Genomic DNA, 27,792 nt, shown 5'->3' on the forward strand with positions numbered 1-27,792 from the left:
GTACTGGGCAGGAAGCAGTAGTTGGCTCACACAGACAGGTCTCAGAAGTGGGGGGCAGGAACAGGACAAAATGGTCATGGGTGTCATTTCTGCATCCTTCCCTTTCCTCACTGAGGCCAAGCCTTGCTGGGGTGGAAGGGGCTGGGTGCTTAGTGACTGTCACTGAGGCCAGACCCCTCAGCTGGGCTGGAGCTGGTCCCGCTGGATCTGCTGAACTGGCCTTGGGATGTGGGCCCGCATCAGGGCTCTACAGCCTCATGGGCGGGACCTGGGCTTTGGCCTCAGGGACACGAGGTGCGAAGCCCAGCTCTGCTCCGTCAGCTCGGGGCTTCAGCCTGCTCCTCTGTAGAATGGGCATACTCACCCCGGCTTGACAGGTGCGGCTTGCTCACCCACTGTGTCCCTCTCTGCAGGTGGAGGGCTACTCAGTGGGCTGCGAGTGCTCCCCAGGCGGTGACTTGCTGGTGACGGGCAGCGCCGATGGCCGGGTCCTGATGTACAGCTTCCGCACAGCCAGCCGAGCATGCACACTGCAGGGGCACACACAGGCCTGTGTCGGCACCACCTATCACCCCGTGCTGCCCTCCGTCCTCGCCACCTGCTCCTGGGGAGGGGACATGAAGATCTGGCACTGAGCTTTTTGTCACTGAACCTTCCCGATGCCAGCTGGGCTCTTGGACTCCCCTCTTCCTCAAGGGTAGATGAGAGGAACGAGCACAGAGGTTGGCTGTGGGTCCTGGGTACCACCTTCTGAGCCTCAGTTTCCTCATCTGTAAAGTGGGGAGAAAAGTCTGTTTGCCTCAGGAGTGTGAGGACTACACTAGTGAAAGCGCCTGGCGGGCAGCCGGCGATGCCCAATAAATGTGTGTTTTGCTGTTTGTTAAGTGATTTCAGCAACAAGTGTGCATTAGCAGCTTCTTCTCGCCTCCCTCCTCCCAGGCCTGCTGGACCTCTGGAGACTGAGAGAACTGTGCGAGCTTGAGATGGGGTCAGCCCCGCTCTGCGGGTCCCAGCAAGGGAGTCCTGAAGTGGGGGTGGTCTGGGTCTTTGGTCTGCCCTCAGGGATTCTGTTGGAGCTCAGCGCCCCACCAGCCTCACAGGCCCCAGCCGCTTGCACTCCCCAGGACTGTGGCCAGCTGGGCCCCTGGTTGGCCCAAGCCTTGGGCCCCTTGGGCAGCCCTTGCCCCGCCAGTGTGCATGCTGCCCATGCAGGTGTGCCCGCCTGGTGAGGGAGCCGCGTGGAGAAGTGAGGGACCCTTGAGGAGCCTGGAGGAGCTGGGCTGGGAGGAGGCCTGGCTCCTCAGGTGCCTGTACAGGCTGATTAGATGGAACCCCCACCAGAATTGTAACTGAGGGGCTACTCCAGGAGCCCAGGGATCTGCTGACAGGCGAGGGTGGGGCCCACTGGTACCTTGGAAGGCTTCCTGGAGGAGGCAGACCTCAACTTGGTGAAGACAGTGTCCCTGGCAGGGGAGTCAGTGGAGAAGGGCAGAGAATGTGAGGAGGCTGCCCATGGGCCAAAGCAGTGGGGGACGCAGGAGGAGGTGGGCACTTGGCTCCCCCTCCCCACTATTCTGTCCCTGCTCCACTGTCACTGTAGCTGAGGCGAGGCAAGGCACCACTCCTCTCCCAGGTTCATCTCTGCATCTATAAAGCCAGGCATTGGAAGAGCCAGCCTGTAGGCTCACAGCTAGGGTCAGAGAAGGTCAAGTCTGTGGGGGTGTCCTGGAGGGGGCTGGAGCTGGCCTGGGGCTGGTGGGTGAAGACCTGTGTATCAGTGTGTCCAGGGGGTCACTGGGATCCCTGGGCTCCGTGGGAGGGGTATCCCAGACAGAGGGAGGAGCTGTGCAAAGGCCCCAAGGTGGGGCTTCTGAGGGCTGAGTCTTCCTGCCCCACAGTCACTGCAGAGCCTGACACATGGCAGGCATCTGGTCTACAGCACCTACTGTGTGCCTGTCTGTGGGTGGGGAAGCTGGAGTTGAGCACTGAGGGTGCTGAGTGCACGGCCCCAGTGTCCCCCTACTGTGTCCTGAGGACAGGGTGAGTGGGATCCCCTGGCCCATGTGGGGGCAGGGTCCTCATGACCCACAGTGGGAGCACCTTCTATGTATTTCTTTTAGGCTCAAGAATGGCTGTTTTGGTGAAAAGAGTTGCACCCCGTGCTCGGCGAGCTTGGTCACTGTCGAAAGTGAAGATTGCCACTGGCCTGAGCAAGGCGGTTGGGGGTGGTGGTACTGAGGCTGGTGCGGGAGATGGGCAGCCCCCACCCTCTGCCCCATGTGGCTGCTGGGGCCTCCCTCTCGTCACGCCTCTGGCCTTTGCCCTTTCTCCTCCTGTTCTGACAGGGGAGCTCCTATGACCTCTGGGGCCCACCCCATCACCCCCACCCAGCAGGCTGATGGTGCCTCAGGGCCTTTGCGCCCACCATCCCCCTCCTGCAGCCTCCTTCCCTCAGGGCTTGCTTGGATAGTATCTTCGTGGAAGCTCCTGTCACCCTCAGCCCCCTTTCCCCACAGATCCCCCGGCCCCACCGATGCCCCACACCTGCATTTGTGGTGGAGCACATGCCCCAGGCTGGGGTTCCTGCTCCCTGCTGGTGCCTGGCCCCGGCACAGAGTGGGCCTTCCACAAGTGACTGCAGGCGTGGCCTGGTGACCAGATGTGGGCCTGTCTGTGTCCTTCATTGCTGTGTGACTTTGGGCAAGCTGCCTAGCTCCCAGTTCCTCAGTTTCTCCTTCTGTGAAACAAGAACACATAATGCCCATCTCGTGGGGATCATGAGGCTGGGTGTGTGTGTCTCCCGGTAGGGCCCGTGTGTCATAGGCACTCAGGAAGTGGTGCTGGGACTTAGTGTCAGGCTGACCACTTGATGCAGGAGCTGAGCCAGTTTAGAGCAGAGTGCGAATGTGGCTCCCTTCTCAGACCTCGCCTCAGTGGGCCATGGGATGGTGGGCCTTGCTCCTACCCTTGCTGTCCCTGTCACTCTCTGGGCATTGGCCTTTTCCAGGTTCAATCTCACGGCAGAAGCCACCAGCTGGGGCTGCCGCCCTCATTCATTCCCACTGGACAAGTCCAGAACTCAGATTGACTGACTTCTGTCACACACATGCTCCACACCCAGGCTCCTTGGGCAGGTGTGGTGGGAACTGTGATTTGTAGCAGGGAAAGTAATCTCCTCCCCAAGTGCAGGACCCTCCTACAAGTATTTTCACGAGGGTGTGTCTCCCCAGCTCCAGGCCTGAGCAGGCCTCAGCACATGTTTGTGGAATGAATGGATGCTGTGCGAATGAACCCAGACACATGGGGGAGGGAAAGCTGCAGTGGTCGGGGTGGAGGGAGGCCCGGGCTTCTCAGGCCGTTTCTTATTTGCCTTTCCCATCCCCACACCTCACTGCCAGCCCCAGACCTTGGAGTCCAGATGCTCTGCTTCCTGACCCAGTACAAACCCCAGTGGTTTTCCACCTTCCTGATGGTGATTTTGTGATGGAGAATTTCATTGCAGCGTTTGCTGATTGTTCCCTACCGTGTGATATGTTCGTGTTACCACTGATTTAACATGACCATCAGTCACAGATGACACTGTGTCAGGCTTCTGAGGGCTGGGATATAGCTGTTGAAAGGCTTCCTGTCTGCCTGGGCTCCTGGCCCCACTCCTGTGCTGGGCACACATCACTGCCTGCCACCTGTGGGACTCGGAGCCAGGAGACCAGCTCATGTCCCAGGGCCATTTCCTGCTGGTCTGAGGCCTTTGCAGGGGCCTTGCTTCTCTGAGCTTTGTTTTCTCATCTGTAAAGTGGGCCTGTGGGGATAAGGAGAGACGAGGCAAAGGAAAGGACTTTGCAGATTGTCACCCAACTTCACTTGGGACAAACGCCATCCACTTCTGTGCGCCTGAAGTCCATTTATTTTCAAGTTGGTGGCCTTGAACCAACCCAAAGCTCTGACCCTTCTGGGGCGGGGGGGCCACCCAGGGCTCCACAGAAAACCCACTGTGGCGGTTACTTAGCTCCACCCTCTGTGGGTTTGATTTCTCAACACAGGCGCCTGTGGGAGCCAGCTGGCTGGCAGCCCCTTCCCTTTTTAGGTCATTTTATTGGGAAGAATGGCAGGTGTGCACCATGCTTTTATCTATTTCTTTTTCCAAACACTTTCTTCCAAAGAACATTCTTAAAGACTGACTTTGATCCTTGGCAAGGTGTCAGGGAGTTCACCGTTTGCAGTTTTAAAATAAGAAAGCTAAATTTAGAAAATGTGGAGCAGGAATGAAAAAGGAGTATGGTCTCTTCCCTCCACCCACCTTCCTGGGGCTGAGTGTTCACCTTCATCCTCTCCTAGAAAATCTGGGATGCCAGATCCGAAGCCATCGTGGAGAAAAACGGCTTCACCTCCAGATGCTGTGCAGGCTGTGTGTGCTGGCTGCAGTGCTGTGTGCCGGGCGTGGCCGTGGCTTTTTTCTGAGTGCAGCTGATGCTCGCAGCTTCTGACAGGGTGTCCATGATCCCCACTGTCCAGCAGAGGAAACTGCTGCCCTGAGGGCAGGGAGCCATGCCCAAGGCCCTCTGACCCCAAGCCTGAGCTCTTTTTGCACCTGGGATCCCTTCCCAAATGGCCTCCCGTAGGCGCCACCTCCACCTCACTTTGGCTGTCTGTACAGTGGGAGACCCAGCTGCCTAGAGGGTCCCTGGAAATTGCATTGATGAATGTCCTCAGGCTCCAGCAAGGGAAGCTGGCCAGGGGGCCTGGGTCTTGCCCAAGGTGACACTGTCAACTGGTGGCAGAGCCCAACCCTGCGCTGCCCTGCCGAGAGCTGAGGAGAAACATACATGGATGTGTGGGCGGGTGGCGGATGTGCAGACAGGGCCTCCCTGACGGCAAGGCAGGATCTCAGTGCAGGGAGAGGGCAGGGGTGGAGCAGGGAACCCTGTGCCAAGGCCGGCTGCCTGGGTAGATGGGGACTGTCCAGGACTTCCCGTTCAGCTGTGGGGACAGTCCAAGTGCAGAAGGTCGAAGGGCAGATCCAGAGGGAAACTGCCAGCTCCAGAGCTCAGCCCCTTGGGAGCCCCACAGGAGCACTGAACAGTTTCTAGAACTCTCCAGCTGTCACAGATCTGTGCCTTTTCATGGCTGTGTTCCATTTGCCTAAAATACCTGTTGAACTCCTATTCATCCTTCAACACCCATTGTGATCCTCTCCTCTGACCCCTTTCATTCGTCCTCCTGGAGCAGTGAGGGCCCTCCCCTCTGAGAGGCCCACAGGCCCTGTGTTCTGGAAGCCCTGAGCTGAGTGTTACACTGTCTGCCTTCCTCCCCCACCTCTGAGTTCCTTGTGGGCAGGGCCAGGTCCCCGAGGCCAGCATGAGGCTGCCAGCTGACAACAGCACCAGGGAAAGGAGGGGGGCACCGAGACCCAGCCCAAGGGATCCCGCGAGAGAAGAGTCACTGGTCAGAGCCACAGGTGCTCCTAAGTCTCAGGGCCCTGCTGAGCCAGCTTTGAGCCATGAGAATTGGGGATAGTGAACCAAGGTTCCCCAGCCTCAGCACCACAAGGAGCAGTGTCCTGACTGCCGTGCACAGCAGGCAGGCCCCCACCCCGGGGGTGTCAGCCTGACCCTGCCGCTGCAAGCCATGTGGACCCTCTCCTTCCTCTTCTCTCCTGCGCCTGAAGGCTGCCTGGCTCTGCAGCCAAAGTCACCGTCCCTACCCAGTCCTAGGCAGGGACCTAATGGTCCTGGCTGCTCCGGGAACAAGACACCTTGGAGGCCCGGCTGTGGCAGGCATTGCAGCCCAGGCAGGAGAGCCCTGTGAGGTGTGGAGGCCATCTTGGGGGCCGCAGGCTCTGAGGTGGCAATTTGGGGCCAACACCCTGGGTCTGGCCCCCCCAGATCTGGGCCAAGGCTGCCGCCCAGGGCAGGTATGTCTGATTCAGTAGCCCCCAGGAGTGAGACCTGGGTGGGGCCTTTGTCACCTAGAAGTGGCAGAGCCAGGGCGCCCCTCTTTTTGGCCTCAGCTTTCCCACGTCTGGGTGACAGAAATCTCACAGTTGACACTGGGGTAGCTGAAGCTTGGGTTCCCCTCTGGGAATGCCTCTGCCCACCGGGTGCCAGTTATTTCTCTCTCCCACCCTCTTGGCTGCCCCCAGCTCAGTGAGGGCTGTAGCCCCTGTTCTGCCCACAGGCCCCAGAGAGGAGAACAGAATCCCAAACCTCTCCAAGCTTCCCCCGGCTCAGGGAGGCTGCTTCCTGGGACGGCAGCTATGGCTGGAGAAGACACAGCCTGGCTGGCTCTGGCTTCTTCTGCAGAGGAAGGGGGAGGGCAGGGATGCAGGGAGCCACGGCTGATGCCCACTCTCCTTGGAGTGGTCTGACCATAGGCAGAGCCACGCTAGAGCTACACACAAAGCCAGGCGTGCCAGGGAACCTCCAGACACGAACCTGGGTGAGGTGCTCCCCACTGGGACATGCCCCAGGCACCTACAGGGACAGCTATAAAGGCCCTCTTAGGGAGGGGCCTCCATCCTCAGCCTTGAACCCACACATGCACCTCTTCAAGGGCAGGGATGAGCATGTGTCCAAGATGAGCAGGCGTCCAGAGAAACAGGGCCGCCGGAGCGGGAACCACGAGGAGGCCTGCACAGACCACATGGTCCGGTCCCAGACCAGCTTGTGAAATGGTTGTGCCCACTGTTTTGATAGAAATAAGAGATGAGCTGGAAAATATCTCCAGGGAATGGGAAGCTAAGAAAGTGGCACTGTGGATTTGTAAAACAACCAAGTAGAACCTCCAGAAATGAAAAACATGAATAACTGAAATGAAAACCTCAGCGGCTGTGTGTGGCGGCTGAATAGACATAGGAGGGAATTAGTGAGTTGGAAGACAGATGATGTGCAGTGTAGCAGGGAGAGCGCAGCAACCACGGAGGGTGTGGGGAGGGGCGGCAGGGCCCGCTGCAGGCCTGGGATGGCACAGGGTGTGGGGAGGGGTGACAGGGACCGTTGCAGGCCTGGAGTGGCACAGGGCATGGTGGGGGGTGACAGGGCCACTGCAGGCCTGAGGTAGCACAGGTCTGGGAAACAAACCCGGAGGGAGAAAACAGAGAGAATGGGCAGAGAAATGTTTTTAAAAAAATAATAGTTGAGAATTTTTCAGAACTGATGAAGTCCACCAATCCACAGATGTGACTCCCTGAGGATCCTCAGAAGGATTCCTAAGAAGGAACTCCACACCCAGACACACCTCAGGGAAACTGCAGAAAGCCAAAGTCAAAGAGAAAATCTTAAAGAGCCGGGGAAAAGAAAGCAATTTTTTTTTTCTAACCAATGGAGCGGCTCCGGGACTGACAGCCAGTTCCCAATACCAACAGGAAGACAGAGCAGAGCGGCAGCATCCCGTGTGCCCGGGAAAAGGCCACCTGCCGACATTCCATCCGTGGCCCCAGTACATCTCAAGGAGCAGAAGCCAAGTCTGAGACACGAGGATTAGGGGCCAGGAAATCGGTGGGGCAGCGCGCAGGAGAATGGGATGAAAGAGCTGTTGTCTCCAGTGGGTTGGGAGAAGCAGGAGAATCCACACCCTAGATAGGAACTTGGATGGCGGGGTGGGGACGGGGTGTTATGGGGATGGGGTGTGAAGTGGGGTTAAGGGGCCCAACTCGGCTGCAGAGAGCAAGGCTGGGGAGGGACACCAGGGACCCCAGGTTCCCGAGACCAAAAGGCAGGAGGAGGAGAAACAGCCCAACCCAGATTCTTTCCACCGGTGTCTTTTATTAATGAATGCAAAATACAGTACTAACTGGCAGGGCATGCATCAGAGACAACAAGAATGCAAGCTACAGAAACCAGGAATGGAGGGCCTCCTCATGTCTGAGGTAGAGTAAGACGGTGTCAGGGGGCGGACCCGGGGGCGGAGATGAGCACCGGCCGCACTGGGGCATCATCCCGGCCCACCCGGGACGATGGGCCGTGGGAGGGCTCAGGGCGGTGTGGTGGCCACACTGCGAAGAATGGATTTTTAAAACACTTCATAGCCCCGAATTTGTTTCAGCTCCCTCTTCGTGGACACAACTTCAGGGCTCCCTTGTCACTGGCTTGCGGGGGTGGTCTCCCCACTTGCAGAGTCTGGTCTCCACAGGACACCGTCCTTCCCTTCCCTTCCAAGGGGCAGGCCCCACGCACCCTCGCCCAAAAAATAAAGGAGCTTTGTGTTGAAAACGCCAAGGCAGCCGTCCAGGGAGCTGGAGGCCAAGTGCGTTAAGAAAGACCCTTTTTCTCTATAAAAATAGTTTCGCTTTATAAAAGGGGGGATGCTCCTCTCACATGGGGGAAGGACGCGTGAAAAACGCTCTAAGTGGAGTTCCACGGGCCGGGGCCGGGTGGACACCGTGGTGTGGGGGACCCTCCCCTCAGGCCTACAGGGCTGGGGAGGAGAGGAGGTGCGGGGAGGAACAGACTCCTCGTTGTTGGCCGGGGCAGGGGAACAGCGGGGGCTGGGGAGAGGTGAGGCCGGCCCTTCTGGGGCACGTGGGCTGGCGGGGAGCGAACCACGGCCAGGCCTGCACGCAGGCGCTCAGTTGAGCAAGGTTCCGTAGAGCTGGGCCTTGGTGAGGCTGTCCTTGCGGCTCAGCCCCGAGCCACCAGTCCGCGGAAAGGCCTGCTGGGGGCTGAGGCGGGCGGCAGGATGCATTTCCGGGGAGGCCTCCATGGAGCTCGGCTCCAAGGAGTCCCTGGAACCCTGCTCGGGCTCAGGGCTGCTGGCGGTCCCACACAGCTGCACCCCGAGCCTGTCCCCGTCCCCCCCCTCGCTGGGTGCATAGCCGGGCAGTGGGTCAGCCGAGCGGCCGGGACTGAGGCTCAGGTCGCCGCCCGCCCGCAGGAAGCAGGGCTCTGCCAGGTGGCCCTGGGAGAGGTCGTCCCCCTCGGAGAAGCTGTCGGCCTTGTAGCTGGCGTAGAGCGGGCTGGCGCGGCCGTCGGCCTTCTTGCCCGGGCTGCCCCCGGCCCCGCCGTAGTAGCGTTCAGAGAAGCTGCAGGGTGAGGCGCGGCCGGCAGCGCTCACGGGGTAGGAGTAGGCGCCGATGTCCTCCACGCTCAGGGGACGCCACTGGCCCCTCATGTCCTCCCCGGGGAGCCGGGCGGTCCCCGGCTTGGCCCGCAGGCTCCACAGGTTTGGGGGCATCAGGGCCTGCTGGGGACCCGGAGAGGCCGGGAAGCGGAAGGTCTCGGCCGGGTACGGTGACATGGTCCGCCCGAAGCCTGGGGCCACTTCGGCCTCCAGCGGGGCCGCCACCGCGGCCGTGGCCTTGGCAAAGCGAGGGCTGCCCTCGTAGGTGGTGGCGGGTGGCTTGCGGTCGAAGAGCTCGTCGCGGCTGTTCAGGTAGATGGCCTGCTGCGACGCGGTCAGCGTGCTGGCCTGCGCGTGCTCCTTCTCCTCCGACGTGGCGCTGAAGCTGGAGTAGGAGCTGGACGTGGGCAGTGAGCCTGCGTAGCTGGGGAAGGCCTCATGCTGGAAGCCCGCCGGGAAGGCCGCCGCCTCGGCCTCCTCCTCCTCCTCGGCCGCGCTGTCAGTGGAGTTCTGGGCCCGCAGGAAGCCCACGTCGGTCACGGGCGCGTCCACGCTAGGCCGCCGGTCTCGCCGCCGCTCCTCCGGGCAGTAGAGGGCTGTGTCACTGCAGTAGATGTCTCCCTTGTAGGGGGGCCGCGGGCCTGGTTTCTCCACCCCGTCGCAGAAGGCCAGGTCGCGGGCGGAGGCATCGGACAGGCGGGAGGACAGGCTGGCGGGGTCCGGCTTCTCCAGCACCTTGGCAATGACGCAGGTGGGGACGCTGTCGGCGTAGGCCGGGTGGCAGAGCGGGGATGGCAGGCTGCAGCCGTGCTTCTCCATGTGCAGGCTCACGCGCTCCTGGAAATCCGAGGGCAGCTGGAACGGGTGCGAGGAGGGGGACGGCGGGTACAGGGTCACTGTTAGCATGGCAGCCCAGCCCTGGCCCTGAAGCTGAGGACTGATGTTAGCCATGACCGACAGGCAGACAGACGAACGGGGGCCTCCCGGCTTCTCAAATCACACCAGGGGGAGCCTGGATCCAGGACGCTGTACTGAACAAGCTCCCAGGGGTGTGGGTGCTGTGACTGCCTGGGGATCCTGGGTCACCTCTCCCCACCCCACTCTGATTGGGCCCAGGAGAGCCCAGAAGCTGCAGTCGCCTGGAGAAGCCGGAACCCAGGTCTGATTCAGGCCCCACTCAAGGCTCCACCCCCCGCCACCCCCACCCCACCCATTTTGTGCCCAGCGAGGGGTTGACTTGCTCTCCCAGGCCCGTGGGTTCTGTGGGTTCTACTGGGGGCATGACCCACTCCCCAGCCCCCCAGTCATGCTGCTGGAGCGCTCCTGAAGAAGACAGACTCAGATGCAACAAAGATTGAGGGCCAGGGCTGAGAGCGCCTGGTGCCATGTGGGGGTGTCCCGCTACTGTTTGATCTATTTTGTGAGTGTCTCAGGCATGGCCCAGGACCAGGGGAAAGGAACGCACAGGCCTGGCTGGGAGATTGCATGTGAGGGGAGGGTCGGGGGACGGGGTGCGCAGGGTGCGGCGACCATAGGCGGGCAGGGGTGGGCCTCTGGCCCATCTGCCCTTGGCATCAGACAGGCCTGGTTCTGGGTCCTGGCTCTGCTACCTGCCTGCCACGTGGCCTCAGCCACGCCCTCTTTCCTGAATGTTTTCTTTCTGAAATAGGCACTGCCGGTCATCGTGCCCAGCCACAGGCTCCTGCGAAGCTCCACAAAGGTCACTCTGCCGTGTCAGCGCTCAGTGGAAGCAAGGACCTGGAGCAGCCCCCCAAAGGAAACCGAGGGCAACCAGCAGCCGGGGTGGGCCAAAGGGACTCTGGTGAGGGCCAGGGGCTGCCCGGCTGCGTGAGGTGGGGTGCCTTTGGCGGCCCCTCCAATGTCATGACCCCACAGGAGCGAGGGGGACAGAGGAGGCTCAGGCTCAGCTGGCATCTTCCTCCTCAAAGATGGGAAATGGCTTTGGGGTAGCACTGGCACAAAAGGAGCCCGGTGGTCCCGGGGCGGGGTGGGCCTGGCTGCGGGGCCACGTTACCTCAGACACCTTGTGGACCCTGCCGTAGGTCTGGCTGCACTGCAGCAGCTGGGCCGCTAGATTGCAGTCCTTCCTATAGAGCTCCTAAAAGACAAGAGAAGGCGTTTGGCGCCATTCACCCCAGCCAAGGCCCCGCCGCCCTGACCAGCGCCAAGTGGCCAGCGGGGGCAGTGGTGTGCACAGGGCCTGCTGTGCGCTCAGCAGGACAAGGACCCACTGCTGGCTCCGGCCCTCTCTGGCCTCCACACTCTTGCCTGCAAAATGAGAGCCTCTTTCTGACCTGGGGCTGCCGGAGCATGGAGGGCCCTGCCGCTGCCCTAGCTGGTGCCCTTGAGCACTGCCAAGATGGGAACCTCCCACAAGGTGGGGGGCAGTGGTAGAAGAAGGAGCCCCAATGGCCCTGAGCTCCCCCAGGCTCGTAGAGCAGGCCTGGTCTCCCTGTCCCTGTCCCTCAGGCTCTCGGCGTCCTTCCAAAGATGACGGGGTGGGAGTGCCAGGCAGGAATGGGAGGCAGGATGAACCCCCAGCACCTTCCACCCCGCACTTCAGACTTGCTGCTCACAACCCTCTTCCCAGAGTGTGGTTTGGAAACAGTGTGGCTGCAGGGCTGGGCAGGGACTGGGCAGGTGTGTGACCTCAGGCCCAGGCGGGCGCTGGCTCAGCCTCCTGAGCTGAAAACAGATGCAAACAGTAGGACTCAAGGGGTGTGGCTTCGCCACTGAAAATCTCTGTTGCATGTGCCTGTGTTTGGGGCTTGCATTCCCGCCCCTCCGGGGTCCCCACTGCGAGGGCTCTGACAGCTAGCCCTGGGGTGGCCCGGAGGCCCAGTGACCCACCTGAGCTGCCCCATGGCTGCTCCTGGCAAGGGCTGGCCACAGTCCCAACCCAGCCAGCACCAGGCATCCTGCTGTCCAGGCAAGGCTGTCTCTGACACAGGCACCTTTCTGTCCCCCCACCACGGCCCTGGAGCCTCCCTCACTGAAGGCTGGTGCCCCCAACTTGGCCTACACGGTGGAGGGCGTCGGAGTCGCCAAACCCCTCTCAGTGCCTCCCTGGGCCTCCTAGGAACAGAACAGCACGGCTGCCTGAGAGCTGAGAACTGACCCCTTGTATGACCCCAGTCGACCGGCTGCCCCTGGCACCAGAGGGCTGCAGGCACTGCCCAGCCAGCCCAGGTCTGCCACTGAGCCCCACCAGCCACAGCCAGGAGTGGCTGCCACTGGGAAGCCGGTGCCATGCCCATAGCCCCTGGGGCACCTGGCTGAGTACCCAAGCCCCTGGGCTGTCCATGTCTGAGGTGGCCAGCTCTGGGACAGCTGGGAGCCTTTCCTGAGCAGCCGCAGCTGCTGGCTCGGGGAGGAAATGCTCACGGGACACTCTGGCAGAGCGAACAGGTGGAGGCAAGCACTCTGGCCACCCAGGGCCCGGGGCTGCTGGAGTCGGAGTCCCGAGGTTGAGTTCTGGCTCCGTCTGCGAGACACCACCTGGGTCACCTGGGAAACCACTCAAGCTGGCCATGCCTTAGTTTCCTCATGTGCACCAACCCTGCAGAGAGGGCCCCAGGACTAGTGTCCACTTAGGTAAGGGGCCTGGCCTTGTCACGTTAAGAAGCACCTCCTGTCCCGAGCCCATGTCCTCCTGTCCTCCTGTTAGAGCCACACTCCTTAGAAGGGTGGCCTGTGTCTGGAACCACCGCTCCACTCCACCACCGACCTCCAGTTCCCCAAATCCCAATGCCTCTCCTTGGCCCTCTGACCTGGTCTCTCAGCAGCTGGCAAGCCAGCCGGCCAGGGCATTGACTGCAGCCCCCTTCTCAAGTGGTTGTTGGGCCACCATACTCGCCTGGTGTCCCCCAGCCTACTGGCCACTCCCTCCCAGGCATCCTTGCTGGTCCCTACTCCGTCCTGGGGCCTCCCTGCTTCTCATCTGCATGCTGCCTGGGCAGTCTCCGCCGGCATGCCGGCCTTCACGCTCAACTCCAGACCCGGGCCTCCTGCTGCCCTGGTGACATCTCCGCTCCAAGGGGTCCTGTGCATCTCCCACCCAGCTCCTGTCCCTCCCCAGCTGTCCCCAGCCAGGAAATGGCAGGCAACTCCTTTTGTTTGGGCTCTGAATCCTGTAGCTGGGTTGGACTCAGCTCTTCTTCTAACAACCCACATCCTAAATCTTGGTTAGTCCTGTTGATTCTATTTTCAAAACACAACCAGAATCCCAGCCCTCTGCCCAGTTCCACCGTCATCTGAGCCACCATCATCTTTTGGACTATGGTCCTGGCCTCCTCCTGATCTTCCTGCTCCTGTCCTCGTCCCTACAGCCTGTTTCCAGCATGGCAGCCACGTGAGCCCTGGGAAGCTGCACGTGCAATCACGTTGCTCCTCTGTTTTCAGAACCCTCCATGGCTCCCCACTGCACTCAGAATAAAGCCCAGGTTTCTGGGAGGAGCCTCTACAACATTGCCTCCTATGGTCTTTCTGACCTCAGACCCTGGCTCCCCCTCCCGCTGGGCGCTCCTTGGCCCCTTTGGGATCCTCCGAGTTAACCAGGTACAGCTGCACACCACGGTTGCTTCTGCCTGGAAGCAATGCTTCTCCCACGGATGTCTGCATGGCTGGCTCCTTCACTCCCTCAGGTCCTGGCACAGCAGCCCCTTCCAGAAGCACCCTCTTGAAATCTGCAGGCCCTGCAGCTGGCGACTCCCTGGTACCGTTCTTCGCTTTCTGTTTCTCTATAGCATTTCACACTTCTAACATACCCCAGAGTTTGCCCCACTCAGATGTGAACTCCACGTGGCCAGAGGTGTTTTTTTTTTTGTTTTTTTTTTTGCCTGTGTTGTTCACACCATCATCTTGGAGCCTAGTAGGGTCTGGCAAGGTAGAAGCTAATTCGTGAATGCAGAGGCAGCTGTCCAGGGTCTGTGGAGGGCAACTGGGCCCATCTCACAGGGTCCCTGAAATTAGGCCCCATGGGCAGCCACACGGCTGTGATGCAACACTGGGACTGGCCAAGGGCAGGAGTCCTGAGTGGCCATGACCCCACCTTGGGATCAGGAAGCCTTGCCTTGAATGGGATAATATGGCCCCGCATCCCCTAGCTCAAGTCCTTACAGCAGAGGGTCTGTTTAAGGACACCCTTGGCGTCCTCAATGAGACAGCACCATCTTTCCCCAACTGCAGCAGGTCCTTCTCAAAGCCCTGACCAGCCTGTCCATCCACCTGTACCCTGCACCAGCCCCTTGAGGCTGGGGCCAAAGCAGCTGAGCTCAGGACCCTTCAGAGTCAGAATGTGACTCCCAGTGCATCCTGGGAAGCCCTCGCCTAGGCCCACCGGCAGTCTTCCATGGGCCAAGTGTGTGCGGCACTCACGTTGTCCTCTGACAGCTTGTCGATGGTCACCTTGGCTTCTAGCAGATGGCTGTTGAGGGCAACAATCTCGTGGCTCAGCGCACGCTTCTCCTCCTCATAGTGCTGGCCCTGGGGGTGGGACAGTGGGAGGAGGAGGCCCGTGGTTGGCTCCTGGTGAGCCAACCCAGTCGCTCGATTGCACCCCCTGGTTTGTCCCTTGTAGCCATGAGTGACAAGACACTTAGAGGGCCAAGGGTGTGGGGTTTATGAGCACAGACAGACCCTGGTTCAATTCCTGGGTCCAACACTGCCAAGCCACACAGCCTTGGGGACGTCACTGCCTCTGAGCCTCAGTTTCTCATGTGCAACACAGAGGTGACAGCGTCCTGCCTCAGGAGCTGGGAGTGGGGACGGAGGACAGATGACTTGTGCCTGGCATAGAGCCCAGCCCACCTCACTGGACAGATTGGGAAACTGAGGCTCAGGAAAGGGCCGGTGTCCAGGCACCCAGGCAGAGCCAGGCCCAGCCCCCAGGCCTGCCACCCCCCGTCTCTGATAGCACCACAAAGGTGGGCAGGTTGTTGCTTTCAAAACCAAAATGAGCTGGTCACCAAAGTAGAAAGAAAGGAAACCTCTTCATCCTAGTGAGGGAGTGGCACCAGAAACCCACACCCTGCCCCTCTTCGACATGTCCCAGCAGTGTGTTCACAGAGAAAATGGCGACCCCACTGAGGTCACCTGCAGGTGGTGTGAGGGTCCCCACAGAGGGGTCCCCATGAGAGGCGGAGCTGGGGCTCAAACCTGCCTCTGGCTCACCCAGGGCCTGAATTCGGGCCTCCCTATCCTCCTGGGCCCAGGTCCTTGGACTGGCAGGCTGAGCTGGGGGGCCCGTTCCCAGTGTATGTCCTCCGTCCACAGCCCCTCTTACACACCCCCAGGCTGGAGTGCTCGCACCCGCCACTCAGGCAGCACAGGGCAGCCCTGGACCCAAGTACTTCCTTAGCCTGAGAGCACACACCCTGCTCCACATGTTCCATGGAGAAAGGGGTGGGACCAGCAAGACCTGTGTCCCAGCTCCTGAGTGGCCCAGGGGTGTCAGCTGGGTGGCTCCCCCCGGGAAGGAGGTGTGGGGTGGGGGAGTGGGCGCTGCGTGGCGGCCTCACCATGCGGTACAGCTTGTCCTCCAGCTCCTGGTTGATCCTCTGCAGTGCCATGTAGTTGCTCTGAATCCTGGTGCAGGAGGCAAGGGGGTCACTGCCATGCAAGGCCTGTCCCTCCCACGACCCTTATGGCCGCACAGCCTGCTGAGCAGGGTGGGGCTGAATTTGGACCTCCTGAGCTCACCCCACCAGCTTCACCCTGGTGGAATGTGTGCCCCTCTGCACACAGCAGAGAACATCCCATTAAAGCAAACTTTTGTAGAAGCCTTTCCTAGGCCAGGGCCCAGGACTGTATTTCCCCCTCCACCCCGGGACCCCCTGAAGATGGGAAGGGAAGGCTTGTTATTCACAAGAGACTCTGTCCCATCCACACGCGGAGCCAGTTTACTCACATTTGACCCACAATTCTTACAAACCTGTTATGGGGTTGACAGTTCAAATGCAAATGAGCAGGGAAGAAACTTAACACTAACTATGTGATGGGCCCCAGGGTGAGGCTGGAGACATCACAGTGAACAAGACTCGGTTCTGCCGGGTAGGAGGAGTGGAGCTGAGTGTCAGGTGGGAATCAGGTGCTTGGAGATTCCATTGCTGGTGGGAGGGGGCTTGGGGATGGTGTCCAGCCTCAGACAACCTATGTGTCGTGTTATGGCCCCTGTCTTGCCAATAGGGAAACTGAGGTGAAACTTTAATTACTTAAAGCAGTAACTGGCAGGGCCCAGATTTTAACTGAGGTCTGACTGCACTGCCCAAGCTTGGTTTCCACATGAATGGAGGGTGACATTCAAAACACTCAGGAGCTGGGGCTGTTCGGAGAGGGACAAACCCTCTCCCTATGGCAAGTCCTCCCTAGGGGCAACACCAGCCGATTCTCTACAAATACCTAAAACAAATCAAGCCAACAGCAAAGGTTGCATGCTTCTTGCATTTTCTGTTTAAGAAGATGAGAAAGTGCATATTACATTTCAGAAAAACATCCATTTTAAATGTGCACAAGAAAACTGCTTTTAGAAAAGTTTGGTGTTTGAGGGAGTCCAGCACAACTGGATCGACACTTCATTAGCCCGTACGCGCTCAAGGGAAGGGTCCCTAAACTGGTTCATCTCCGGGCTAGACACAGCTTTTCCCATCAGGACCCAGGGAACCATGGCTGGGCCCCGGGTGGACCAGTCTGGGTCTGGAGATCTGCTGGGTTCAAATCCTGGCTCAGCTGCTCCATAGTGTGACTTTGGAGGAAGAGCTTCCCCTACCAGAACCTCTGGACTCCCCATCTGAGTGGAGTCAACAGCCAGGGTGAGAGGGGAGCACCGCGTGCGGCTTTCCGGGCCTCGGGCCCTGCCCCACCCCGGCCCTCGCCCCGCCCCGGCCCTCGCCCCGCCCCGGCCCTCGCCCCGCCCCGGCCCTCGCCCCGCCCCGGCCCTCGCCCCGCCCCGGCCCTCGCCCCGCCCCGGCCCTCGCCCCGCCCCGGCCCTCGCCCCGCCCCGGCCCTCGCCCCGCCCCTCACCTGCGCAGCTTCTCCGTGACCTTCTCCAGTTCCTCCTGCGCGCGCCGCAGCTCGATCTCCAGGTAGTGGCGCGTGGAGTCGAACTCGGTCTCGAGCTTCTCGAGCTTGTGTGTGGTGTAGGACAGCCGCTTGCGCAGCTCGCCCTTCTGCTCCTGCAGCGCGCTGCAACGACATGGCGGCGGCGGGCCGGGCCGCGGCGCTGAGCGGGGGAAACTAAGGCCCGCAGGCCAGCCGGGGCGTGCCGCACTAACACGCGAGTACCGGCGCGCGCGCGCGCGCGCACACACACACACACACACACACACACACACACTCACACACACCCAGCCTCCCGGGCGTCACTGAAGACCATGGCGCCCCAGAGTCAGGGACTCTGACCCTGAGCCAGTCTGGCCTGGGCGGTTCCTCAGACTCCACCAGTGTCCCTCACACAGGTAAATCCCAGGTGGTGGCTGGAGGAGTCTTTGACCCCAGAACCTGGCCAGTGTGTTGGGGGCGGTTTAAAGGACCCAGGTACAAAGAGCACCCATCAGCACCCAGGCTATCACAGAGCTGGCCCTGGGTGGCACAGGTGACTGGGGCCCTCACTCCTGCTCCTCCACAGTGCTAGGTTGGGATGGCTGAGGCCCAGAGTCAGCAGTGCCATGCCCAAGACCAGACCTGCTTTCCCCAAAATGGCTGTGTGGCCCTGGGACCCTGGGTCACTTCTCTGGGCCAGAGAGATGTTTGGTGGCAATGTCCCATGCCCGGGCAGTGTCTGCCACCATGGCCAATGAGGCTGCATGCAGCACGGGAAACCTGGCAAGGTCCTGGCCTGCTCAAGTTCCCCTTCCTCCAGGAAGCCTTCCAGAAACCCAGACAATTCTTGAGGCTCTATTTTCTTCCCCCAGAATGGGGTCTCCTGGAGGGTAGGACCCCAGGATGCAGAGCCCCACATGCTCAGGAAACAGAGACCCACTATGACCCACTCTTCCGAGCCACCTGCCAACAATTCACCTGAACTAAAGCTGTGCAAAGGCAGGAGGGTAGTGTGGGGGCCTCCAACAGGGATGGCTCGGAGCTCCCCAAGGCAGGGGCTGCACTTCCGGTTGTCTGGGTCAGAGTGGGGTCAGCAGCCAGCAGTTCTTTCCTTGCAATGGGTGCACAGCCCAGGGGCTATCTGGGACCAACATCTTTTGGATTGTGTTGCTGTGAGATGGGGACGGGACAGGCAGAAGTCCCGGGTGTCATGAAGGAAACTTGAGGTGTGGGAGAGGGCCTGGAACCCTGACTCTGCCCAGATGTGCTGTGGGACCTTGGGCAAAAGCCCGCGTTCTTGTGATATTCCCGACCCAAACCCAAGCGAGGGGAGTAGAGGGCAGGCAGGAGGCTCCCAGTCCCCCTGGGGCCACCACTGTCCCCCAGCCCCGAGCAGAGGCATCTTCTGTCTGGGCCCCGTGAGTAAACCGCATGTGGCACTGCGGGCACACACCCAGCAAGCCTCCAGGAAGCACTCTTGGATTCCTGCCCAGGGCTATATTTTTAAAAACAAATAAAAATAAAGCGTCGCTTACGTTTTTGAGAACCTCAGAGAAGGGCAGGGCGGGTCTTCCCAAGAGTCAGTCACCACAAGAGGAAGTAGAGTAACAAGCAAAGAGGGAAGCCCTGAGGCAAAGTGCCACAGCTGCCCACGTGGGTCTGCCTCCGGGAGCGCTCTCTGGGACAGTGCTCAGGCCTCCTTCCACCTCCTCCAGGCAGCCTTCCGTGGCTGCCCCACTTCTAGCACTCTATAGCTACAGGTCCCAGGCTGCTTCCCACACAGACCTGTCCTCCCCAGGGAGGTGGTGAACTTCCTGGGGACTCCTATGCCATCCTGGGCTCCTAGGGCAGGCACAATGGGCTGCACAGCAGCCCCTGAAGTCGACTGTTCCCTGCAGGGGCTCCTGGTGTACCCACAGCCCTCGGGAAGAGGTGAGGGCGTCATCCATCCACCCACGTGGCCACCTCAGCCCCGAGTCCTCACCCCTTCTCCAGCCACACCCCAGGCCTCACTGAGCAGCCTTAGGTCCTTGCTATTCTGAGACCTGCACCCCTAGCTCACTGTGCCCCCTCACCCAGCCCTGCCCCTTCTGGGCACCCTGAGGTCCCTACCCTCACCTCTCAGAGCAAGCAACCTGTCTGAGACCTCACAGCCAGGAGTAAGACAAACCCTGCCCCTGCCCCGGGAGCCTGCGGTCCAGAGGGGAGGCAGACAATGAGCTAGGCAGGGATTCTCCACGGGGCAGGTGTGGGAGGGGAGGACGAAGGGGCTATGGGGTGGGCTCGGGGCAGACATCTCACAAGTCAGGCAGCTTCACAGAGCCTCAGTTTACCCCTGGCCTTTGGATGGCCTTCCAGATACAGCAGTCAACTCCCTGTTCCACCAGCCCTTAAATACTGCTCCCCCTCCCCAAGTCCTTCACACCCAACCACCTGCTACACCCAACCAATCTTTGGGCTAGCAGTGCCCCCAGCCCCTGACTCTCACACCCCTCTCTGCCTCAGTGTCCGCTTGCTGCAGGCATCGGGCCATGGACACGCACCCCGTCCCCAGGCATAGCTGATGCCCCGCACTTGGCCGCCCCAGGGTTCCTGCCACGTCTTTCCCCACCTCTGCTGGTCCGGCGATCACACCACAGGCCCCTCCCGACCTCGCCCGGGCTGTTCCCTGGGGCCCCGGTTTGCACCTGCACCCCTGCCCTGCATGCTCAGACCAAATCCCCTCCAAGCCAGCTGCACAGGGACCCCTCCCAGGTTTCCATCTGACTCCAGCGGGGTGTCTGTCAGGCTCCATACCCTCACCACGTCCAGCCACCCACCTATGGCCCTCAGGCATCTCCACACCCAACCCGTCCAATGCAGCCACATCCACCACACCTTCACTGCCCTCCACGTTCCCCACCCGGGGGGTGGGCATGGTGACCCCTCTTTACCCCTCACAGCCCTGTCACTAAGTCCTGGGGGTTCAGCTTCTCACACCTCTGAACGTGTCCCCTCTGCCCAGTCCAGGCTGTGTACCTAGGGTCTGCGGTCACCCGGGTAGTACCTCCTTCCCTGTCCAGTGTTCCCCACACCGGGCAATAACCCGAGCCCTGCCACGGCAGCCTGTCTCCACATCTGCAGAACTGGATGGTGCACCCAGACACGGGGGCAGGGCTGTTGCTGGTCCACATTCTACATAGTAGCACCCTCCACACAGTGGACAATGTCAAGAGGTGGCACTGTGTGGGGTGGGGCCACCAGGCCACTGGGAATCTGGGGGAAACTGCTGGAGGCCTGTGGCTCAGAGGCCTCTGTCCCCTGCCCTGGGTGAAAAGGTGTCCTGGCAAGGGCCGAGATGGGTCAGGGAGTCCCCAGCGTCTGGAAACAGCTCCTTAGCAGACATACAGGGAGGGCTGTGGTGCTCCGAGCGCCAGGGCCACGCCCTCCAGGCTGGGGCCACCCTTCCAGGCCTGGGGGCCTGGGGGGCCCTGCTGGGCTTGCTGCCTGGTGAGTTACACCAGAATCTGGGGCTAACCGGCAGTGTGTGTGCACGTGTGCGTGTGTGTGGTGTGCGTGTGCGTGCGCACGTGATTCTTGGCTCCCTCCTTGCCTGTGGGAATTCCCTGGACTGGGGTGAGTGCCCAGCTCCCCTGGCACATGGTGGGGCCTCGAGGGATCTCCCTTCTGCCTTCCACCGAGAGCCCCTTCTGGCCACTTGCAGGGGGTCCAAGCCCAAGGAAGGAGCCCTTGGCTGGGATGCTGGGCTGAGGGCTGTGAGGCTGTGCCGCCGGCCCACGCCTTCACCTTCACCTTCTGGGCCTCTGCATCTGTCTCGGGGAGTTGGACACAGACACGGGACAGATGTCTGGGGACAGACGCAGAGACACCAGGGAGCCGGGGGAGACAACAGGTATGTTACCTGTCCCAGATGGAGGGCGAGGACCTGGCCAGCCGGCCCTGCAGTACTCGGGGCTGCCCGAGGCACAAGGGCACCCAGGGGCTGCGCAGCCTGTGGGCAAAGAGGACAGAGCTGCTCAGAACAGGCCGGGGTGGGCAGGGCTGGGGGCCATGCGTGGCCCACCATCAGGGGCACAGCCACAGCCCCTTGGCTGAGACCGAGAGAGATGGGGAGTTGGTCCCCACCCCCTGCCAGGAAAACTTGTCATCTGCAAAGTAGCAGGGGTTGGGGATGTGGGTACCAGAGAAGGGGGCCCAGCCTTGCACCTGCCAGCCCTCACTCCTCACTCTGAAGGGTCCCAGCTCAGCGGTGGCACTGAGTCCCACCATGGCAGGGTCACTGGTCACTCGCTCAGTGCCTCTTTTGAGCATCCTGTCCCATCACTGGGCGGGGGGCGCAGCAGCAGCCCCTGAAGTCAGTTGTTCCCTGCAGAGCGGCAGGTCTACCCTCAGCCCTGCCTCACAGGACACAGGTGGGGTCTGGTCCATTGTCTCAACCTCAGAGGGGAGTGATGGGTGCAAGCTCCCCCTCCCTACTAGCTCTGCATCTGTCGGGTGCCTGCCTGTTGCAGGGCTGGGTTCCTGGCGTGCAGGATTGGCGGGTCAGGAGGAGGCCCTGATGGCTGCTGTATGGTCTCCTGTAGGCTGTGGGACCTGGCAGATGTTAGGGATCCGGGGTCCACTTCACCCTGCCCCGGGGCCCCTGCTCCCCTGCCCCTGCCTGTGGCCTATGTGGGCTGGACAGATGGGTGTGAGGAAGGACATGGGCCCGGCCCGGCCCTGCTAGGGTGTTGGCCTGCTGGAGGACACAGCGCCCAGACGAGTGCCCTCTTGGTTGTCCCCCTCCTGGGTTCTCTCTGGGGATCAGCTGGAGGGCTCGCAGAGACGCCCGGGCAGCCCTGCTCACCCTGCGCCAAAGCAGGAGATCCAACCTCTGCCTAGAGGGGCTGGTTCCATCAATAAGGCTCTGATGCTGCCCCAGAAATCTGGCTTTCAAACAGTGCTTCAAGATTCAGGCAGATGGGCGTGCTCAGAAAAAGAGCCGTATAATCCCATTGAAAAAATAACTGCATACGGACAGCCACGGACAATAAGGCAAGCAAAGAAATGTTAATGTAGTTATACCTGGGTGGTGAAATGCTGGATAATTTAACATTTTTCTTTTATACTTTTCTGAATGTGTCATATTTTCTACAGTGAGGATGAAAAATCAGAGAAAAAAATTGCTAAAGATCAAATTTTGGTACCCCCACCCCAAAAGTCACCATTAGCACCCATGGGTCAGGCCGAGGGGGCAGCAGAGGTCAGGAAAAGCTCTTGGCACTGGCCACGAGTCGCACATTGATCACTGGATTCCTGAGCTGCTCTGCAGAAGTGGGCGGGGGTCTGATGCCCCAGCGCATGGTGGGGAAGGGGAAGTGGGTCGGGGCGGTGGGCTTGGCCTCTGGCTGGACAGGACTTTGGAATTCCGGTCCCAGGTCTACCCTCAGCAAATGACCCCGGTGCTGCTGAGCGAACAGAAAACAGGATGGGATGAGTGCGTTCGCTCGAGGCTGCCAGAAACAACTGCCCTCATGGCCCGACCAAGGCCAGCGATTCCCATGGGCCTCCTCCTCCCAGCCCTTGCCAAGGAGACCCCACCCCAACAGGTCCCATCTGTAGGGGGCCTTATGGTAGGTGGGATTACTGAAGAATGAAGGCGCTCAGAGTAGAAAGGCTAGGACCCAGGGGAAACTGGGACCCAGGGGAAACTGAGGCCCAGGGAAGGGGTGGGGCTGGCCTGCAGGTGCAGTGAGTGGGGGGCATGGTTGTGACTTGACCCAGGCTCTGACTCTGGTCTCTCACAGGACATTTACTGAGCATCACTGGTGACCCGCTCTGGTTCTGAGCCAGGTAACAACACTTGGATGGAAATTCTCATTCTCAGCCTGTGGCGTGGAGGGCATCCCATCCTAGAGATGAGAAAACTGGGACCCAGAGAAGTTAAGCAACAGGCCCAAGATCACAAAGCAAGCCTCGGTGAGGACCAGGCAAGAACCAGGGCTGTTGGGCCCTGCCGGGGCTGCCGCCCTCCCCTTTCTTGGACTCCCCTTCGAAGGAAAGGTGGGCAGGGGCATGTTGCTGAGAGCCTGGCACAGGAGGGCTGCCCTGCTGAGAGGCCTGCCGAAGTGTTTTGAGAGCAGGGGAGCCGTGACCTGTGGGACCGTGGAAGGGGGAATGAGCCACCTCCCACTGGTTTCCTGGCCCGGCTGTCAGCAGAGCCAGCGATGGCCCCAGCGGGAGCCAGTAGAGCACGTGGTCCCTAGGGACGACCTGTCTCAGTGTCACTTCCAGCTGGGTGCATGGAACCACGTTCCTGCTCCTACCAGCAGAAGGACCTGGTGACTGCTGGGCAGACGGATGGACTGGGGGTTGGCCTGGGCCACCAAGGCTGACCTGCCAAGAGACCTTGCCTTGGTGCTCCTTGGCAACCTTTGTGGACATGGGTGTAGTCACGTGGGGAGCAGCTGCCACCTGGGCCCTGTGTGTCTCAGGATGAGATGACTCCAGGAGGCCTGGAGCCCTACAGGAGACTGGGCAGGTTTTGTCCGTGCCTCCAGGGCACATCTCCTCTCAGGACTTGGACCCTGGGGGCGGCACTGTCAACAGACGCCTGTTTTCCTCCCCCAGGGAAGGGCTTGAAGGGGCTGCACAACCAGCTGCAGGTCCTTGACGGGTGGGGAAGGAGAACGGGATGCTCAGGATGCACCAGGCATGGACCACAAGGTGCACCTGTGTCCCGTTCTCACTGGTGAGATGCCCCTCCCGCCGCCTCTCAGCCCTGAGAGGGATGCCACAATTGCCGCCATCCTACAGATGCAGAAAAGCCTGTGGCCACCTGTGGGACGCTGTGACTGCTCCCACCCCATTCCAGGGCAGAAAGAGGGGAGGAAGACGGTGACAGCCAGGTCTGGCCACACCCCAACACCATACTCCTGGCCCCCAGGAAAAATGACAGGACATTTTGCCTCAAGCCAGATAGGCCTGATGCCTCTTCTCGCCCCTGCTAAGAGGGACAACTGTCCCATACAGGCCTTCAGATTTCCCCCAAATGTGGCTGCCCCCACACCCATCCAGACCCTTATCCATGCTGTCCTCTCCCCTGGACATGTCCTCGTCTCCCTTCTCTGTGTGTCCCCAGGTCCTCTCCTCTGTTGTGAGGCTTTGCTCAGATGCCACCTCTTCCAGGAAGTCTTTCTCGGTTCCCCCTGCTGAAGGTCCCTCTCTTCCTCTCCAGGTGCCTCCCCTCACCTTGGACTGCCTGTGCTGGACAACCCTCCTGCTGGGATACTGCTTCCCTTCTCTGCTGGGCTCTCTGCTGGCCCTGCCTCCAGCAAGCCCACTCCACAAGACAGCCAGAGGGCGCGTCCAAACAGGTGGGATGCTCCCTGGCTCCCCACTGCCCTACAAGTCTTGGTGCAGCTGATGGAGTTCAGACAGGGTGACTTCAGTGGAGCAGGTAAGCGTCCACTTAGGGTCAGGGCTGGAGCCCCAGGGCCCTGCCTCTGTCATCCTGCTGTCCTTCCTCCGTCACGGGGGGCCACCGGGCCCATGCCCTTCCTGCTCCCCTGAAGCCCATGGGGCCCTGCCGGGCTGGGGGAGGACGGTCACATGAGCTCCAGGGCCCCTGGTGTCAGGAGGAAACCCTTTCTAGCTCCATGGTGTGCTGAGGACATGGGAGCCCGGAGCTCAGAGGGCGCTGAGCAGGTTCCTGGAGGCTGCGGGGGAGGCCTGGCTCCCATCCTCCCACTTGACGTCACGACAGTGGGGTGGGGCTGGGCTGCGGCTGTCACTGTTGCACAGTCAGCCGAGGGCCCGAGAGCCGCTCCCACCCTGTGCCCCTGGCGTGTTGTGGGATCCCGCCACGCCCTGGGCACAGCCTCTGTCTTCCCTCTTCGGTCGTGGCTCTCAGCCTGGCCCCACAGTGTCATGCTCCGGCAACACTAAATTGCTCCTCCTCCCTTCCAGGCTGTAGGCAGCCAGGCTCTCATCTCTGTGACTTTGTCCCCGTGTCCCCTCTGCCAGGATCTCACTCCTCCCTGCTGCTCCAGGTTAACTCCTCTCCACGTAGCACCTGAGGGGGCCTGAAACCCCAGCTCACCCCACCCTGCCCTGGATGAGGTCAATTGCTGCCCCTCACTCCCCACCAGCCCACTCCCCACCAGCCCTGTCCTTGAGTGTTGCAGTGCCAGGTCTCCTGTTCTCACCCTGGCCCCCAAAACTGTAGTTCCCCCCAGATGGCTCATTTCTAGACCCAGACTATGTTCTACCCTGGCTCAGAGCTGCCCCAACTCCTCTCTGTACCAAGACTAAAAGGCCAGTTCCTCACCCCAAATTCCTGTCCCCAGGGACCCGCCACAGCCCCAGCCTCGCCATTCCTGGCCCCCCCCACCTTCCCGCCAGGCACGCTGGCCTTCGGGCTGTGCACATGCCCCTGAGAGCCTGCCTTTGCACCCCTCAGTGCCTAGAGCAGGACCAGGCTGAGCAGGGGGGTCACACGCTCACCCTCTCAGCCTCCAGTGAATTGATATCAGCCCTGGGAGAAGGTCTTTGTCCCCAAAGCTGCTCGGACCTCGCCTGGTCTTTCCCAGCAGAACCTACAGTTGGCCCCTGGAGGAAGCCCACATCAGACCCTTGGGATGCCTCTGACGGGCCCAGGGCCGAGTCCTCGCAGAGCTGCTTCTGCCCCCCGCCAGGGCCGTCTGGGGTCTCCCTGCAGAAGGCCTTGTGCCCCAAGCCTTCCATCAAAGGAGCAGCAACAAGCCCTGTGGAAACCCGGGCTGGGTGGGCAGAATCGCCTCGCCTGGCGGAGCCTCTCCTGTGCCGGTGGCCTGTGTTCCCTGTGCCCGTGGCCACCCTCGTTCCTCATGGCTCAGAAGAGCCTCTCTGTCCCCTCCAACTTGCTCCTGCTGCGCTGACTCTGTCCTTTGTGTGGCCTGGAAGCCGACAGCAGACCACTTCCAACAGAAGGTGGGGGGCACCCCAGCCCCTGCCCACCGTGTGCACCCATTCATTTAGTCCTCAGACCCCCGAAAGGGAGGTGTGTACCCCACCCCGTTTTCCAGATGAGGAAACAGGTTCACAGCGCTCAAGGAACAGGGCCTGTCTGAGGTCACACAGCCCGGCTGGGGTTCCATTCTAGGCCAGCCTCACACTGAGATGCCAGATTTTAATGTAAATAGTAGCGCTTTAGCCATCCTGGTGCGTGTCTCCCGCACAGCGAGACAACTATGACGAGCTGCCCTCTGCCTCCGTGTGGCTAGAGGGTCGACCACGGTGGCCCCGGAGTCCAACAGGACAACTGGTCACTGCTGGCACTGCTCTGGGTTTAGCCGTGCCCGCCCAGGCCTGGGCAATCCCGTGGCTGACCTCTGCAGTGATACTGGGACTCCACCCGCACAGAGAGGACTCTGAATGTCATCACCATGGCCGCTGGCTGTTGTGCAGCTGCCCCTGGGGGAAAGACACATGCATGCATGTGCGTGTGTGTGTGTGTACGTGGTGTGTAGGCCTATGTGTATGTAGTGAGGGAGGGGACTGTCACGGTGCTGAGCTAGGTCCCTCAGCCAGGAGGGGTGGCCTGGAGAGGAGTGAGCTTTGGTCATCACCAGCTCAATTGGGGCCACCCTGACGGTGTGGATTTGGGCTCAAGGCCTCCCGTCTTGCTCCCCTGCCCTCCCCTCCCCCTCCTTCACTGGCCACACCTCTCCATTTGGATCCTCGACTCCGGGATGACCTGGCTGGCCGCGCCACTGCTCCCTCCTGCCTGGAGACTGGAGTCAGGATGCAGCAGGTAATGTTTCATCTCACCTCATCTTATCAGGCAGCCGCAGCCCTGCCCCGCTGCCCCCCTCTTTCTGCAGAACCACGTGCTGGGAGCTGGTACACCATGTCCTGGGGAGCCCTCGGAGGGTGGGCAGACCCAGCGCGTGCCCAGGGCCAGGGCAAAGCGGGCCAACCCAGGCAGGGAGATGGGACGGCTGTAGTCACTCCTGGACCTTGGCACAGGCTGCCCCCTGCTCAGAGCGTGCCCTTCCCTGAACTTTGGTTCACTCTGTTCACCCCCTCCAGGAAGGGCTCCCTGACATCCCCCCTGGGTCAGGAGCCCTCTTCTCCATCCTCACCCCAGCCCTACAGTGCAAGGGCACAAGGGCTGTCTCCTCATCAGGGCACAGGGGCTGTCTCCTCCCAGTCAGGGACCCAGTGCCTGCTGCAGGACTGGAGGTGCCCGAGGAGAGCCCAGCCAGCTCTGAGCTCCCAGCTGCGATTTCAGGAAAGGCCTGCAGGGTGAAGGCCTGGGGACTCTGTCCCCTAGTGAGGGGACAGCTGGGTTTCTGACGAGGGTGGGTGGGGCAGAGCCGCCCGGGGCAGCAGGCTATGTCCCTGGGCATCCCTCCATGCCCCCTCTCTGCAGGTCACAGGCCGCTGCTGTCCCCACTGATCTCCATCCAACCTGGATTGTAGAGGAAGAGCCCAGGCCCTGGGTAGCTGCATGGCTGAAAGCACCACACACGAGTCAGGGCAGGCCAAAGCCAGGCCCCCAGTCCCAGCGCCGGCTCTGCCGGCCTCTTCCAGCCACACCCGAGTCAGGGCGGGCCAAAGCCAGGCCCCCAGTCCCAGCGCGGGCCCTGCCGGCCTCTTCCAGCCACACCCGAGTCAGGGCGGGCCAAACCCAGGCCCCCAATCCCAGCGCGGGCTCTG

General features: G+C 61.1%; 2 protein-coding genes and 2 long non-coding RNA genes across 44 annotated transcripts in view, besides 3 other annotated features; 3 read left to right on the forward strand and 1 right to left on the reverse strand.

The window, feature by feature from the left end:
* The window catches only part of WDR25 (WD repeat domain 25), a 153,819-nt gene extending 152,922 nt beyond the window's left edge, over positions 1-897 (forward strand). For all 7 annotated transcript variants that reach the window (NM_001350947.2, NM_024515.6, NM_001350948.2 and 4 more), the window contains one exon: positions 414-897. In NM_001350947.2, coding sequence (NP_001337876.1) covers positions 414-635 — 222 coding nt within the window. In that variant the 3' untranslated portion in view covers positions 636-897. The remainder of the gene's footprint in view (positions 1-413) is intronic.
* Positions 7,741-27,792, reverse strand: part of BEGAIN (brain enriched guanylate kinase associated) — a 50,271-nt gene continuing 30,219 nt past the window's right edge. For 9 of the 31 annotated variants that reach the window (NM_001385101.1, NM_001385089.1, NM_020836.4 and 6 more), the window contains 5 exons: positions 17,095-17,256; positions 15,594-15,660; positions 14,452-14,559; positions 11,090-11,173; positions 7,741-9,909 (listed from right to left, as the gene is read on the reverse strand). In NM_001385101.1, coding sequence (NP_001372030.1) covers positions 8,563-9,909; positions 11,090-11,173; positions 14,452-14,559; positions 15,594-15,644 — 1,590 coding nt within the window. In that variant the 5' untranslated portion in view covers positions 15,645-15,660; positions 17,095-17,256 and the 3' untranslated portion in view covers positions 7,741-8,562. Of the gene's footprint in view, positions 9,910-11,089; positions 11,174-14,451; positions 14,560-15,593; positions 15,661-16,501; positions 16,862-17,094; positions 17,257-18,090; positions 18,722-21,013; positions 21,104-27,792 lie in introns of those variants that run through there. The other 22 variants (NM_001385093.1, NM_001385096.1, NM_001385097.1 and 19 more) reach the window with 8 other exon arrangements.
* Positions 8,566-13,537, forward strand: LOC124903382 (uncharacterized). Of its 4 annotated transcripts, none has more exons than XR_007064333.1 (3): positions 8,566-9,805; positions 10,015-10,213; positions 10,724-13,537. It is a non-coding gene; the product is annotated as an uncharacterized LOC124903382 (long non-coding RNA). The 4 variants fall into 4 exon arrangements; XR_007064335.1 differs by lacking the exon at positions 8,566-9,805 and having other exon boundaries at positions 9,905-10,213; positions 10,724-12,669; positions 13,297-13,537; XR_007064334.1 differs by lacking the exon at positions 10,015-10,213.
* Positions 17,523-17,652: an enhancer, noted in NCBI's record as "active region_9041". NCBI's record gives its function as "activates an Ori minimal core promoter by ATAC-STARR-seq in GM12878 lymphoblastoid cells {active_cell/tissue: GM12878}" and the evidence as "EXISTENCE:reporter gene assay evidence [ECO:0000049][PMID:35858748]".
* On the forward strand, positions 22,889-27,669 carry LOC124903384 (uncharacterized). 2 transcript variants are annotated; one of them, XR_007064337.1, is made up of 3 exons: positions 22,889-23,070; positions 24,329-26,884; positions 27,506-27,669. It is a non-coding gene; the product is annotated as an uncharacterized LOC124903384 (long non-coding RNA). The 2 variants fall into 2 exon arrangements; XR_007064338.1 differs by lacking the exon at positions 27,506-27,669 and adding an exon at positions 23,908-23,999 and having other exon boundaries at positions 22,997-23,070; positions 24,329-24,812.
* Positions 26,130-26,885: an enhancer, noted in NCBI's record as "H3K4me1 hESC enhancer chr14:101021873-101022628 (GRCh37/hg19 assembly coordinates)". NCBI's record gives its function as "activates a minimal SCP1, AML or CMV promoter by ChIP-STARR-seq in naive H9 embryonic stem cells {active_cell/tissue: H9 hESC(naive)}" and the evidence as "EXISTENCE:reporter gene assay evidence [ECO:0000049][PMID:30033119]".
* Positions 26,886-27,642: an enhancer, noted in NCBI's record as "H3K4me1 hESC enhancer chr14:101022629-101023385 (GRCh37/hg19 assembly coordinates)". NCBI's record gives its function as "activates a minimal SCP1, AML or CMV promoter by ChIP-STARR-seq in naive H9 embryonic stem cells {active_cell/tissue: H9 hESC(naive)}" and the evidence as "EXISTENCE:reporter gene assay evidence [ECO:0000049][PMID:30033119]".

Source organism: Homo sapiens, chromosome 14, assembly GCF_000001405.40.
Source record: "Homo sapiens chromosome 14, GRCh38.p14 Primary Assembly".
In the NCBI taxonomy this organism is placed as follows: Eukaryota; Metazoa; Chordata; class Mammalia; order Primates; family Hominidae; genus Homo; species Homo sapiens.